The 15,690-nt window shown below is 42.6% G+C and overlaps 1 protein-coding gene and 1 long non-coding RNA gene across 32 annotated transcripts in view, besides 1 other annotated feature; one reads left to right on the forward strand and one right to left on the reverse strand.

Annotated features, from left to right (window-relative positions):
* The window catches only part of SIDT1 (SID1 transmembrane family member 1), a 104,557-nt gene that overhangs the window by 82,561 nt on the left and 6,306 nt on the right, over positions 1 to 15,690 (forward strand). For 20 of the 31 annotated variants that reach the window (NR_136280.2, NR_136282.2, NR_136283.2 and 17 more), the window contains 6 exons: positions 985 to 1,061; positions 4,565 to 4,611; positions 8,312 to 8,417; positions 8,508 to 8,618; positions 10,987 to 11,100; positions 12,531 to 14,460. Coding sequence is in view for 25 of the 31 variants with exons in the window: in NM_001322299.2 (NP_001309228.1) it covers positions 985 to 1,061; positions 4,565 to 4,611; positions 8,312 to 8,417; positions 8,508 to 8,618; positions 10,987 to 11,100; positions 12,531 to 12,593 (518 nt within the window). In the remaining 6 variants the exon portion in view is untranslated. Of the gene's footprint in view, positions 1 to 981; positions 1,062 to 4,564; positions 4,612 to 8,311; positions 8,418 to 8,507; positions 8,619 to 10,986; positions 11,101 to 12,530; positions 14,461 to 15,690 lie in introns of those variants that run through there. The other 11 variants (NM_001322294.2, XM_011512939.4, XM_047448377.1 and 8 more) reach the window with 4 other exon arrangements.
* Positions 2,629 to 8,318, reverse strand: LOC124909410 (uncharacterized). Its single transcript, XR_007096007.1, has 2 exons — positions 5,562 to 8,318; positions 2,629 to 3,555 (listed from the first exon to the last, which is right to left on the reverse strand). It is a non-coding gene; the product is annotated as an uncharacterized LOC124909410 (long non-coding RNA).
* Positions 11,839 to 11,938: a silencer, noted in NCBI's record as "silent region_14607". NCBI's record gives its function as "represses an Ori minimal core promoter by ATAC-STARR-seq in GM12878 lymphoblastoid cells {active_cell/tissue: GM12878}" and the evidence as "EXISTENCE:reporter gene assay evidence [ECO:0000049][PMID:35858748]".

Consider the following 15,690-nt stretch of genomic DNA (forward strand, 5'->3'; position numbering starts at 1 on the left):
TTTGTATCAAAGTGATCCACCTGGCTGTCCTGGCAGCCCTGCTCCCTGAACAGCCTCTTTCAGGCCGGGCAGACTCCGTGGGAGTGGGGAGCCAGAGAGAGGCTCAGAGGGGAGGCTGCACTCCACCCTAGCCTGCTCCATGCCTTTTCTGGGATGCCACAGAGACAGGTTTCTCCCTCCTGGTTAAACTGACCACGGGGGTAACCTTGAGGAGGAGAAGGATTCATAACAGAGCTGAGATCCACATTCTGGAAAATGTTTGCTTTGGGCAGACCCAGACTGGCATTCGATATCTGTGGTGTGGACAGCTCACAGAAACACAGCCCGTCTTTGACCCTGACTGTTCATGTAACATTATAACACACACACTCGCTGCATTTCATATCATCCTTTTCAACTGTGCTTAAAAAAACTTTCCTGTCTTTTTCTCCCCATCTTAACTTACCTTCACTTGATGATTGTTTCAGTTCAGATAGATTTTCTGAACATGCTCAGTAGAGCCTAGGGTCCTTTAGTTCAATTGTTACTAACTTATAACCGCATTGAGAAATAACAGATCTGAATCTTTACAAGCTAAGATTTCCCATCCTCTAGAGAGAGCATGTGTTTTAAAGTAGATTGAGGGGACCCATAACATCTCTACTATAAAGAAAACACCACTAGAGTAAACTGTAAACAAAAAGAAGCTTAGCTGCAGGAGACAGAATAAGGGTCCACCAGCCACCCATGTTATTTGTGAGTGCTTGTTGTTCATGTCCATCTTCCTTGCCTTTCTGCTGTGTAATGCACAGATATGGCATCCCTCTATGACGATACCATTTTTCAAAGCAAATACTTATTGCGCACCTATTAGGTGCAAAGCATTCTAATGCATTTTAATGAAGTGAGGATGACATCATTCTGGCTCCAAAACCTTGGGCCACTTCAGAGTATTTGTATTTTTGTTGACTAAGCCTTCTCACCATGCATTTGTATTATCAGCAGATTTGGGAATTTTCCGGCGGGCTGCCATGGTGTTCTACACAGACTGTATCCAGCAGTGTAGCCGACCTCTATATATGGTATGTGCATGTTCCTGTGTTCTTTGGCCCTGTCCCAGAAAGCAGGGGAATAGTAGGAGGAACAGGCTTGGGGCAGTCACTCACGGCTCCTAAAATCAAGAAGGCCAGATGGCCCAGGGTGGCTAAAGGCCCATTAGTGGGAGAAGGAGCATGGTGCTTATTCTTTTTCATACAAGTCAAGCTAACATGGTCCCATTTTTATAAACAAAATATTTGCTAGTATATTAAAAAAGGAGAAAATACATCTACCCAACTGTTAAACAGTGATGATTACGGACACATGGTGGGGAATAACACACACTGGGGCCTGTTAGAGGGTGGGGCGAGGGGATAGCATGGGAGGAGGGAGAAGATCAGGAAGAATAGCTAATGAATGCTGGGCTTCATACCTGGGTGATGGGATGATCTGTGTAGCAAAACCACCATGGCACACGTTTACCCATGGAACAAACCTGCACATCCTGCCCATGTAACCCTGAGCTTAAAATAAAATTTGGAAATAAAAAATAATAAAGAATTTTTTTTTTTTTTGAGACGGAGTTTTGCTCTTGGCCCAGGCTGGAGTGCAGTGGCGCGATCTTGGCTCACCGCAACCTCCACCTCCTGGGTTCAAGCAATTCTCCTGCCTCAGCCTCCTGAGTAGCTGGGATTACGGGCATGTGCCACCACACCTGGCTAATTTTGTATTTTTAGTAGAGACGGGGCTTCTCCATGTTGGTCAGGCTGGTCTTGAACTCCCAACCTCAGGTGATCCGCCCACCTTGGCCTCCCAAAGTGCTGGGATTACAGACGTGAGCCACCGTGCCCTGCCCAATAATGAAATTTTTTAAAAATAAAATAAAAATAAATGAACAGTGATCATAGCTATGGGGAGGATCAAGACAGTGTACCCTTATAAATAATCATCCAAAGAGGTACCCTTGTGGAAGTGAAAGGGCACACTGCTAATAATTCCACCAGGACAGCAGGTGTAAACCAGGACTATCTCGAGAAAACTGGGACCCGTGTTCACTCCAGTCATGTCCATTACGAACTTACACTTCCACATTATGCATTTCTGTATTGCTTGATTTTCACAATGAGCAAGAATTTTTTATAACTTGTGCTTATTGCTTGATGGTTAAAACATACTTCAGTGTATTATATATTTCTATAGTGAGCCCAGAGCTCAGGGCCCTGGTCCCAGCTCTCTCTTGGCTCTCTGGTCAGTGATCTTGAGAAGGCTACCTTCCTCCTCTGAGCCCACTGCCCCAGGCTTTACAAAGTGCTGCAGTCAGAACTAGTGATGCTAGTATTGCCTGTCACACAGGGATTTAGCAAGTACCTGCTAATCCTTTATCATCAGAATATTTTTGCTAAAGGAATATGGAAATCCGTGAGCACTCTAGAGCTTGGGCAGGAGCTATAAGCACTAAAAACAAGGGAATTGAGTCTGGAGGGTTTATTCAGGTAAGAATGAAAAAGTCCATCAGGACTTGTGAGTATTTTGAGAGGCAAGTTCTCCTGCTTACCTGTGAAACAGGAGAGGCAAGTAATGTTTTCGTTTTTTACATTAATTGATAGAGGCTTCCTTTTTTAATAGACTTTATATTTTTTTAGAGCAGCTTTACATCCACAGAAAAATTGAGCAGAAGTACAGAAATTTCCCATATACCCTCTGCCCCCAACTCCCCACATGCACAGCCTCCCCCACTATTGACATTTCCAAACCACAGTGGTACATTGGTTACAGTTGATGAGCCTACACTGACACATCATTACTACCCATGTAAAGTTTACGTTACATTAATGCTCATTCTTGATGTACACTCATGGGTTTTAACAAGCATGTTGACATGTACCTACCATTATAGTATCATACAAGACAGTTCCACTGCCCTAAAAATCCTCTGGGCTCGGCCTATTCATCCCTCCCTCCCTCTTAAGTCCTCACAACCACTAATCTTTTTTCTATTGGCAGAGTTTTTCTTTTTCCAAAATGTAATTGGAATCATACAGTATATAGCCATTTCATACTGCCTTCTTCCACTTAGTAATAAGCATTTAAGTTTCCTCCATGTCTTTTCATGGCTTGATAGCTCATTTGTATTTAGCACTGAATAATATTCCATTGCCCGGATGTGGGATGTGCCACGTTTATTTATTCACCCACTAAAGGGCATTTTGATTGCTTCCAAGTGTGGGTAATTATGAATAAGCTGCTATAACACTCATGTGTAAGTTTTTGTGTGGACGTAAGTTTTCAACTCCTTTTGTTAAATATCAAAGGGAGCTATTGCTGGATTACATGGCAATCATAAGTTTAGTTTTGTAAGAAACGCGAAACTGTCTTCCAAGTGGCTGTACCGTTTTGCATTCCCACCAGCAATGAGTGTTACTGTTGCTCCACATCCTCGCCAGCATTTGGTGTTGTCACTGTTTGAGGATTTTAGCCATTCTAATAGGTGAATTAATTTTTTTAATGAAGTTATTTCCTCCAAATTGGATGGATCACCTAAAAGACAAAGAATTACTACTTTTAAATAGTAGATAAGTGGTTATGCAAATTAAAGTATGATCAAATCTCTCCTAGAAGTTTTAAGTAGTATGCAAAGAACAGGGACAGATTGTGAATAAATCTCTGTCAGAGTAATTGTCATTTATTTGTTTGTTTGTTTATTTATTTTGGGACAGAGTCTTGCTCTATCACCCAGGCTGGAGTGCAGTGGCAAAATCTCGGCTCACTGCAACCTCTGCCTCCCAGGTTCAAAATCTTCTCGGGCCTCAGCCTCTCAAGAAGCTAGGACTACAGTTGTGTGCCACCACACCTGGCCAATTTTTGTATTTTTAGTAGAGACAGGCTTTCACCATGTCAGCCAGGCTGGTTTCAAACTCCTGACCTCAGGTAATCTGCCCGCCTTAGCCTCCCAAATTGCTGGGATTATAGGCGTGAGCCACCACACCCGGCCTATTGTCCTTTAAAATTGACCTTTTCTCCCTATTTTCTCCCCTACAAGAGTCTATATTGTAGACACAGGAACCTGTGAGTTTCAGGACCACCTTGAAACCAGAGTAATGGGTACAAAATTAACTCCCTACAGCTGGGGCCTGAGAGTTGCAATAGTGGCTACCAAGTAGTACACCCCAGAAAAACAGTGCTCAATTACATAGTACCAGTGACAGAATTCTCTCAATTCTGTAATCAACACATACCACCAGCCTCTCCACTGAGAAATGGGCCCATGGGCCCAGCTCCACTAAACACTGGGAAGAAATAGAGTCCTGCTTTGCTCACCACATTTTCTTTCTCAGGGATGAAGTCAGGTCTATTTGCAGTTAAAAGCCTTGCCATTTAGTCTTTGTATACGATTAGTGTCAGATCATAGGCAAGGCACTCTTAGAACCACAGAAAATTATTTTCACCAATGCAATTGTTTTCCCATAGTTGATACTTCTACACAGTAGGTTAAAAGAAAAGTAGGCTGTGCAGCCTCTCATTTGATGTTTTCTTTCCTCTTTTCCAGGATAGAATGGTGTTGCTGGTTGTGGGGAATCTGGTTAACTGGTCCTTGTAAGTAGTCTTATGAAAACATGTTTTTGCCTTTATTAATGTCAGTAACACTGTGGTTTAGCTTTCCTTGACTGTCATTTTTACAAAGAAATCTGAAATTAAGGAGAAGGTAGGACTGCTTGTTCTAGAGACTCAAAAAAAGGTAGTAGGACATTCTCGTGTAGCAATTGTAGCCTCTCTTAAAACACTGATGCATTGAGTTCATTTGTTCAACAAGACAAACATCAAAACTTGTTAAGTCTATGTGGATACATTGGATAGAAAGATGGGATGGACAGATGGATGGATAGTTGAATGGTTAGATAGATAGATAGATAGATGATAGATAAATAGATAGATAGATAGATAGATAGATAATTATACCACTGATTGCAAACATCCAACATAGCTTTAAACTCTTTCACAGAATTTTCATAAAGACTACCCAGTAGGCCTTCTTTTCTGTAGAAATTTTTCTTTTACTAAATGTGTGTGTGTGTGTGTGTGTGTGTGTGTGTGCAAGTCCCTCTTTTATTTCTTTCCCTCCAGTCTCTTTCTTTCTACCTACATCATTCTTCTTCCTCTTTCCCCATGGCCTTTGTTCCTCAAATGGCTCAAAATAGAACAGTACAACAGATGTGTATTTTTGCTAGCCACCATTATTTTATGCAATCTATCCTCTTATACAGTTGAATGAGTAAAATATTTTATTGATCACTCAAACCATAAGTAAGTTTAACTGCTTTTATTTGTAGCTCCTAGATGATGAGCTCCTCAGGGTCAGTGGCCTGTGATTAAAAAAAAAAAAATGATTCTGTAATCCCAGTGAACAGTAAGGAATGAAGAGGCATGCCTTCAGAGGAGGCCAGAATCAAGTCATGAGAATCTGAGTCCTATCTGGGGGGCATGTGCTTCTGGAAGAAGCTTCCCATGTTGTCACCCCAGGGATTGCCTCAGGATAAGATGTATACCATTTAACGATTCCTCCTTTACTTGGGGGCAGGTCAAGATGAGAGGATTCTTGGGCAGTGGTCTCTTCTTGACCACCCTTCTAGCAGACTCCACAGTCCTGGTGGTCCTGAAAGAGAGGGCAATGGGAGGAGAAAAGGGACCAACCTCTTGATAATGACCAACCTTTGACTATGATTCCAGGGGCTCAGAATCACTTGGCTTGTCTCCGTCTCTCACATAAGCAAAACCACATCCACGATCTGCTCACAAGACAAGGCAAATGGCCTCTCTTCACAGACAGCTCTGTGGAACAAAAGGGCCTCTAGGGATGGAGGTGCAATGACAGACTTACACCGTGATTATCTGATAGTGGGCTACCTCCTTCCCAGTTGCTTCATAAAGACATGGAATGATTTCCCATGAATGATATTTTAAAAAGAATTACTTTCGTATGGTCCTGAGTTATATATAGGCATAGAGATGTATGTACATACATATGCATATAGAGAGAGAGACAGAGAGAAAATGACAAAGCAAATGTAACAAAACGCTAATAACTAGAGAATCTGAAGGAAGGATGTACAAGAGTTGCCTGGTATACTAAAGATTTCAAAATCTGGGAGAAGAAAATTTTCTGCATTATACAGAACAAAGTCACTTGAGGGAGGCCAGGTGCAGTGGCTCACACTTAGAATCACAACACTTTGGGAGGCCGAGGCAGGAGGATTGCTTGAGCCCAGGAGTTTGAGACCAGTCTGGGCAACATGGTGAGACCCTCTCTCAAAAAAAAAGAAAAAAAAAAAGAACGAAGTCAGTTGGAATTCAAAATGAACAAAGAGAGTCCATTAATAGTACTTTACACTTTAAATACTTAGGAATAAATTTTGAGAGATGTACACAATCTTTCTGTAGAAAATGTAATTATCTTATTAGAAGCCATAAGGAAAATTTAGCTAAATGAAGAGAGACGTCAGGTCCTGGATGGAAAGATTAACTACTGCAAAGGTATCCTTTCTCAAGGTAATGTAAACATTTAGAGTTAGAATAGTAATTAAGTTAATAAGGTTTTATTCTAAAATTTATTTGCTAGTTAGGCAAAAATTTCAAAGATCTTTGAAAAAGAGATTAACAGAAGCAAGGAGGAGCAGAGGTGACTAGCCCAGCATTGTCCATTAGAACTCTCTGGAGTGATGTAATTGTTTCACACGTACGGTCCAATACAGTAACTATTAGCACATAGATATTGCAGACTTGAAATGTGGCTAGTGTGACTGAGGAAGTAGATTTTCAATTTTATTTAATTTTAATAGCCATATGTGGCTACCAAATGGAACAGTGCAGGCTAGCCTAATCAGATAATCTAGCATATTATAAAATAATAATAAAATAGTGAGGCACCGATCTAAAATTAGAAATTAGAAATATGAATCAGTGAATCCGAATGGAGGACAGAAACCCAACTAGATAGAGATATTGAGATTTTAAAAAATATATATGTGGATGTGTATTCATCAAAAACTATTTCAGGCCGGGCGCGGTGGCTCACGCCTGTAATCCCAGCACTTTGGGAGGCCGAGGCAGGTGGATCACGAGATCAGGAGTTCAAGACCAGCCTGGCCAAGATGGTGAAACCCCGTCTCTACTAAAAATACAAAAAATTAGCTGGGCGTGGTGGCATGCGTCTGTAATCCCAGCTACTCCAGAGGCTGTGGCAGAGAATTGCTTAAACTTGGAGGGGTGGAGGTTGCAGTGAGCCGAGATGGTGCCACTGCACTCCAGCCTGGGCAACACAGTGAGACTCCATCTCAAAAAAAAAAAAAAAAAAAAAAAAAACTATTTCAAAACAAAGAGATAAGAAAGAATTATGTAATAAAGGACATATTATAACTGAATAGAAATTTGGAACAAAATTAAAGCTGAGTCCAACCAAAATTAACTTTAGCATTAATTTTAAAACCATGGACAGCTAGCAAAAATTTGGTAATGTGTGTCAAGCCAATCATGGAGATGATTTTGCTTCTATTCTAAGGAACTAATCTTAAATGAAAAACATAAGCTCAATGTCTGAAAGTATTTATTTATTCATTGCAGTGTTTCTTATAATAGTGAAAAACCGAAGAATGTGGGAAGACACTTCAACAAAAGGGGAAAGATGATTGTTTACATTGCATTCAGTTATGGGAACTTTACATGGTTGTTAGAAATGAATGCTTGGAAGAAAGTGTATTAAATTAAAAGTTACTTATATAGGCAAGGCACCATGGCTCACGGCTGTAATCCCAGGGCTTTGGGAGGCTCAGGCAAAAGGATGGCTTGAGGCCATGAATCCAACATCAGGCTGGGCAACATAGCAAGACCCTGCCTCTACAAAAAAAATTTTAAAAGTTAGCTGGAAGTGGTGGCATGCATCTGTAGTCCCGGATACCAGAGAGGTTGAAGTGGAAGGATCGCTTGAGTCCAGGATGTGGAGGTTGCAGTGAGCCGTGATGGTGCCATTGCACTCTAGCCTGAGTGAGGGAATGAGACCCCAACTCTTAAAAAAAAAAAAAAAAAAAAAAAAAAAAAGATACTTATATGTTAAAGTATTTTTTTAAAAATCTACTGTTCCATCAGAGGTAAGAGTTTAAAAAAAAATAAAATGAACTAAAAATAAAAGTTAAAAAAAAAAAAAGAACCTGCCCCTTCCCCCTCAAGGGACTGGGGGATTGGAAAAGCCAATAGTGTTACAAATCCACCTTCACGGCTGCCCACATTTCTCCCACGCCTGCAGCGCCCTCTTTGGATTGATATACCGCCCCAGGGACTTTGCTTCCTACATGCTGGGCATCTTCATCTGTAACCTTTTGCTGTACCTGGCCTTTTACATCATCATGAAGGTAAGAGCGGGTGCCGGGAGCGGCTACCTCGGGCCCTCGGGCAGGCGAAGGCGGGGTCGCGTGAGGCCGCATCTGCTTCTCCTCCCACAGCTCCGCAGCTCTGAAAAGGTCCTCCCAGTCCCGCTCTTCTGCATCGTGGCCACCGCTGTGATGTGGGCTGCCGCCCTATATTTTTTCTTCCAGAATCTCAGCAGCTGGGAGGTAAGAGGCCAGTTTTCTTATCCAAAAACAACCTCTCTCTCCAACTTGCCATTTTGGCCTTTCTACCTCCCTCTCTTAATGTGTTTTCACAGTGTCTAAAATGAAAGTTTTCTCTACCAGGGATGGTTTTTAATAGCCGCACACAAATGCACAATAACTGCATGCGTTATCATTCTCAGGGTGGCACTTTATAAATCTGTAAGTACTACAGACATTGCAAACTTGGTCTTCATTGCATGTTGTATTACGACGCTGGTCCCAGTGGATGCTTAACGCGGTCAAAAGCCTTGAGTAGTTCATCTTCTCATCTTTCTCATAATCTCCATCCATCAACAAATACCCAAGCTGAGTGTCATTACATCCAGTCCATAGATAACAGAGCCGAAGCCTAGGAAATTAGTGGTATATCTGAGGCACAGAACAGGAAGAAGTCTTAGCATTCCATCAGAACAGTTACCACAATAGATTTTAGAACATTTCTGTCACTCCGGAAAGAAACCTCATATGCATCAGCATTCACTCCTCATTTCTCGCTAACCCCTTACCCCTAAGCAACTACTAAATCTACCTTTTGTCTCTGTATATTTGCTTATTCTGGACATTTCATGTAAATGGAATCACACAATACACGGCCTTTGTGTCTGGCTTCTTTCACTTAATGTGTCCTAGGTTCAAGCATGCTGTAACATACATAGTACTTCATGTCTATTCATTGCTGAAAAATATTCCGTTGTACTGATATATCACATTTTATCTACCTGCTCATCAGTTGATGGACAGTTGGATTGTTTCTATTTTTGTGTCATTATGAGTGATGCTGCTGTGAATATTTGTGTACAAGTTTTTTCCTTGAGGTAAAATATACATATAAAATTTACCATCGTTACCATTTTAAAATGTGCAGTTCAGTGGTCATAAATACATGTATATTCTTTGGTTTTTCCCCTCATCTCCCTCTCCCCCCACCCTTCCTGGACTCTGGTAACCACCAAACTATTCTCTGTCTTCACGGGATCCACTTTTCTAGCTGCCTCATATGAGTGAGAACATGCAATATTTGTCATTTTGTGCTTCACTTATTTCACTTAACATAATGGCCTCGAGTTCCATACGTGTTGCTGCAAATGGCAGGATTTTATTCTTTTTTATGGCTGAATAGTATTTTATTGTGTTTGTAGGTGTATGTACATTGTCTATGTAGATATGTGTATCATATTGTCTTTGTCCATACCTCTGTTGATGGGCACTTAGATCGATTCCATATTTTGCCTATTGTGAACAGTGCTGTAATAAACATGGGAGTGCAGATAACTCTTTGACATACTGATTTCTTTTCTTTTGGATATATATCAAGTAGTAGAATTGCTGGATCATATGGTAGCTCTATTTTTTTCTTTCTTTCTTTTTTTTGGGGGGGCGGGGGGACGGGGTCTCCCTCTGTCTCCCAGGCTGGAGTGCAATGGCGCAATCTCGGCTCACTGCAACCTCCACCTCCCAGGTTCAAGTGATTCTCCTGCCTCACCCTCCTGAGTAGCTGGGACTACAGGCGCCCACCACCGTGCCCAGCTAATTTTTTTGTATTTTTAGTAGAGACGGGGTTTCACCATGTTGGCCAGGCTGGTCTCAAACTCCTGACCTTAGGCGATCCACCTGCCTCTGCCTCCCATGGTCCTGGGATTACAGGTGTGAGCCACCACACCCGGCCATAGCTCTATTTTTAGTTTTTTGAGGAACTTCCAAACTGTTCTCCACAGTGGCTGTACTAATTTACATTCCCACCAACAGTGTGTGAGAGTTCCCTTTCCTCCACATCCTCGCCAGCATCTGTTATTGCCTGTCTTTTTGATACGAGCCTTTTTAACAGGGGTAAGATGATATCTCATTGTAGTTTTGATTTGCATTCTCTGATGATCAATGATGTTGAGCACCTTTTCATATGCCTGTTTGCCATTTGTATGTCTTCTTTTGAGAAATGTCTATTCAGATCTTTTGCCCATTTTTAAATTGGATTTTTTTTCCCTTACAGTTCTTTCAGCTCCTTATATATTCTGGTTATTAATTTCTTGTCAGATGGATAGTTTGCAAATATTTTCTCCCATTCTGTGGGTTGTCTCTTCACTTTGTTCGTCATTTCCTTTGCTGTGCAGAAGCTTCGTAGCTTGATGTAATCTCGCTTCTCTATTTTTGCTTTGGTTGCCTGTGCTTTTGAGGTCTTTGTGTACAGGTTTTTGTGTGGATGGATGTTTTCTTGGAAGCTAACTTTTCGAACCAGACATCTAGTAGCGTTTTTGTGGCTTTCTGGACGTTCAACTCTTTGAACAGTTGAACTGTGGGAATCTTGCCCATGTCCTGCCTCACCTTCCTCCAGGGAACTCCGGCCGAATCCCGGGAGAAGAACCGCGAGTGCATTCTGCTGGATTTCTTCGATGACCATGACATCTGGCACTTCCTCTCTGCTACTGCTCTGTTTTTCTCATTCTTGGTGAGTTCATATCTATCTTTTTGTGACTTTCTTCTCTCTTTACATCTTGTACTCTCTTTTTCTTCTGCTCTTCCTTACTTTTTTTTATATTCCTCTCTAATTTTACTTTCCATTTCCTCCTTGTAATTCAATGTACAGACCATCTTATTTCTTTCATAAATTTTATATCCTTTGGTTAGATCTTTAGTTTTTCTTTTACTCTTCAATATCTTTAGACACAGAGGGACAAAATTACTTTCCCTAAGTTGCACAGCACGTTTGTTCTGAATTGGTTATTAGACCCACATGCCCAGAATTCCCCCAGGAACCACTTTTAGCAATTCCGATAACATTGGGTTATTCCTTCTTATGCCATACTCACATTCCTCCTCCTCCTCCTCCTCCTCCAGTCTCCCTGAATATTTCACAAATATTTTACATATTCCTTAAGTGGCTTGGGGTAGCAGCCACGTGTCTGTTGCCTTCTGACCAGTCTGTCCCAAATCTCTCCTGTAGTTTCTCTATTTTTTTGCCCCAACCCTTTCTCAGAAGCCATGAGTATTTATATCAACCCTGGATTATAGTTCCATCCTTTAATCCTAACTTTGATTTTTCCCAATTAAAAGTCCATGGTGCCTGTAGGCAGGTTCAATTGACAATTAACAACCCTACTAGACTCCCGGGCTCCAGACCTACTAGATGCCCGGGCTCCACGCAAAGCGGGCTCAGGCAGGCCATATGACTTCAAGAGTGGAGCAGGGCTATCCTCTAGTGGCCAGTTTGGGAAGCTTGGCCAATCTGTATAAACAGTCCTTACGTCTTTTACTTTTGATCGTCACCTTCATGAGAGAGACAGAGACAGCAAAAGTGGAACTAAAGATTCCACGTGGGGCAGTAGTAGTCAAATGAACTAGAAATGGAGGAGGAGGGTACATTTCTTATATAGCAATACTCTATCCAACAGGACTTTATTCCTTTGACTCTTGACCTAAATGTCCCCTAAGTAATGACTTCCCAGGCCACCCTATCAAAATTTTTTACCTCCCCACACCTGATACTTCCTGTATTTCCTCCCTTATTTAACTTCTATCCTTAGCACTTATTACTATCTAACATGCTATATTTTACTCATGTATTTGTTTCACGTCTAAAGCCCTCTTTAGAATGTAAGCTACATGGAGAATAGGGATTTTTGTCTCTTTCATTACCAACTATATCTCCATAGCATCTGGAATAGCACATCATAAACCTTCATGAATATTTAATTGACAAATGAATTGTATAATTATAATAAGTGCCTATTAAGAGCAAAGGATTGCAGAGAGCTGCAGAAGGCATGAGAATGAGAGGGAACTAACAGTTTCCAGTCTGTGTGCATCTCAGAGAGAAAACAGGACTTAGTGTGACAGTGACTGTCCATTCCTTTCATTTCTCTGTCCCTCTCACTTCAGGTTTTGTTAACTTTGGATGATGACCTTGATGTGGTTCGGAGAGACCAGATCCCTGTCTTCTGAACCTCCAACATTAAGAGAGGGGAGGGAGCGATCAATCTTGGTGCTGTTTCACAAAAATTACAGTGACCACAGCAAAGTAACCACTGCCAGATGCTCCACTCACCCTCTGTAGAGCCAACTCTGCATTCACACAGGAAGGAGAGGGGCTGCGGGAGATTTAAACCTGCAAGAAAGGAGGCAGAAGGGGAGCCATGTTTTGAGGACAGACGCAAACCTGAGGAGCTGAGAAACACTTGCTCCTTCCATCTGCAGCTTTGGGAGTGCAACAGGGATAGGCACTGCATCCAAGTCAACTCACCATCTTGGGGTCCCTCCCACCCTCACGGAGACTTGCCAGCAATGGCAGAATGCTGCTGCACACTTCCCTCCAGTTGTCACCCTGCCCAGAAAGGCCAGCAGCTTGGACTTCCTGCCCAGAAACTGTGTTGGCCCCCTTCACACCTCTGCAACACCTGCTGCTCCAGCAAGAGGATGTGATTCTTTAGAATATGGCGGGGAGGTGACCCCAGGCCCTGCCCTACTGGGATAGATGTTTTAATGGCACCAGCTAGTCACCTCCCAGAAGAAACTCTGTATATTTCCCCCAGGTTTCTGATGCCATCAGAAGGGCTCAGGAGTGGGGTTTGTCACACATTCCTCTTAACAAGTAACTGTCACTGGGACCGAGTCCTGGGTGCTTACATATTCCTTCGTGTCTTCATCTCACTGACCTGTGTGGACCTCATCACTCTGACTCTGCCTTCTTGGAAAGGCCCTGTCACTCCACAGATGTCTGGCCAGCTTCAAGGCAGAAGGAAAAACAGGAAAAGCTCTTTTAACAGCAGCAGGAACAAGAGAAATGACTAACCATACTAAAAGACTGGTAACAGCAGCAGCAGCCAGACAGGCCTCACCTTAAGGACTTGGGCTGCCAGAGCAAATTCAGCAGAGCTTATTTGGCCTCCCATTCACACAGCTCAGTTCTGTGCCCACATCACCTTTGGGGAAGAAATCAGCATTCTAATCAGGGACACTACTTCAGGAGTCCTCCACAGCGAGTCCGTCATCTGTCACTTTATGTAGATCAGGGTTCTAGACTTCTTCCCTGAGGTTCTCAGAAGCAGCTCTCAGGATGAACGTATTGTCCTCTTCCCCTCTTCTTGCAAAGTGCACAGCTAATCTAATGTTGTCTCTCGGTTGCACCTGACATTCTCTCCCCAGTAAGGTGTTGGCAAGCTCAGCATCTGGGTTCCACTCTCACACTGTCTGGCAGCTCTGTGTCTGAGAAGTTCTACATTGACCAGGCCCCCTTGTTGCCTGGAGTATGACGTAATCAGAAAATAGACGTATAAATGTGCACATGCGTATGTATTTGCTTGTGAAATTAAAGTCACCTCTTGCCTCTGCTTTCCTGATCATTCGTTAGAGAAATGGATCAGGCATTTTTTTAAATTATTATTCTTTCTCTAAACTATTTGCATTGTGTTCAAAAACCCATTTTAGAAGTTTGAACAGCAAGCTTTTCCTGATTTTAAAAACACAAAGTTGCTTTCAATGAAATATTTTGTGATTTTTTTAAAGTCCCCAAATGTGTACTTAGCCTTCTGTTATTCCTTATTCTTTAAGCAGTGTTGGCTTCCATTGACCATATGAAGGCCACCAATTAAATGGTTGTGTTAATCCAACATGTAAAAAACTTTTTGGCAGGGCACAGTGGCTCACGCCTGTAATCCCAACACTTTGGGAGGCTGAGGCAGGAGGATCACTTGAGCCCAGGAGATTGACGCCGCAGTGAACTATGATTGTGCCCCTGCACTCCAGCCTGGATGACAGAGTGAGACCCCATCTCTTAAAAAATAAAAAAAAATAAAAATTTGAACCTGTTTCACTATGGCTAGTTTGACCTAATTTCTTTATCTTAACGCACTATGGTTTCTAATCCACAGAAGACCAAGGGAGGAAATGTGAACAACAAAGTCCATTCAAGTCGCCCTGTGGCTGAAGCGAATAAATTTTCAGATGCATAACCTGTTTGGTAGCTTGTTTGGGAAGATGTGAGCGGAAATGGGGAAAGGGCCCTGGAGGAAAGGGTGGACTGTGCTGCTGAAGCCTTCACTGTTTTCTGATCACGTCTGTCTTGTGCTACAAACGCACACACTGTGGTCAGTTTTGTTCCTGCAACAGTACCGAAAATCCAGACCAAGCTTGTTTTTACAAATATCAGTTCTAAATGTACATGTTGCTAATTCTTTCCACAGCGCCAGTCTCACGGTTGGAGGACATAAAGTCATTCAGCTGCATCTGTAGGATTTACACAAGGGCTGGGGCAGAGGGGAGCACAGAGAGCTTAAAGAGCTTAACGAGCCATTTCTGTAGGACAGTGTCTATGCTAACTCTTGCCTGGGTTCATGGACTTCACTCTTTAAAAGGGAAAGGAAGAGTGACTGAGAAAGCCGGGTTCAACAGGAGCGTAACCGGAGAAAAGCAGTCACTGTGAAGAGGCTCTTGGCAAAGTAAGCACAGAAGTAATAAGAGCAGTTCAGCTGGAGCAGGACAGAGGTGTAGCAGCCAGAGAAGCAAAGCTGTGCACATAAAAAATGACCTCTTCACACCCCTGACAAATGCTGGAGAAGCAGCCCCACCTCTTTATGCTCCACGGTTTACTGAGGGATTCGCCCGGTTTTATTTTAGCAGCAGGAGAAGCCAGTGGAATGCTGGACTCTATCTGGGGAAGGGACTTTCCATGACTGAAGGAGGTCACCGAGCCAGCTCCTCGGGGCAAAGAAAATGGCAGCTCCTCTCTTCGTAACTCCAGGCACCCACCAGAAGGTTCTGTGGGGTCACAACATGCATGTGTCGGTAAATCAAATACCCAAATCCTCCTCAATATGGGTGATAGTCTCTATCCAAAACTCATGGGAAAGGGAGGAACAAAGATAAACACTATTCACAGAAGGAACAGTACAATCTGCGGAAGATTCTGGAGTCCACCTACTCGCTATGTGCCCTTGGGGAAGTGACTGAAACTCTCAGATCCTCAGCTGGCACACCTCCATGATTCTACGTGAGAATGGCAAAGGTGGAGGTGTGCAGGGTACCAGGAGCAGTGCTCACGCAG

The sequence above is a fragment of the Homo sapiens genome, chromosome 3, assembly GCF_000001405.40.
Source record: "Homo sapiens chromosome 3, GRCh38.p14 Primary Assembly".
Lineage (NCBI taxonomy): Eukaryota > Metazoa > Chordata > Mammalia > Primates > Hominidae > Homo > Homo sapiens.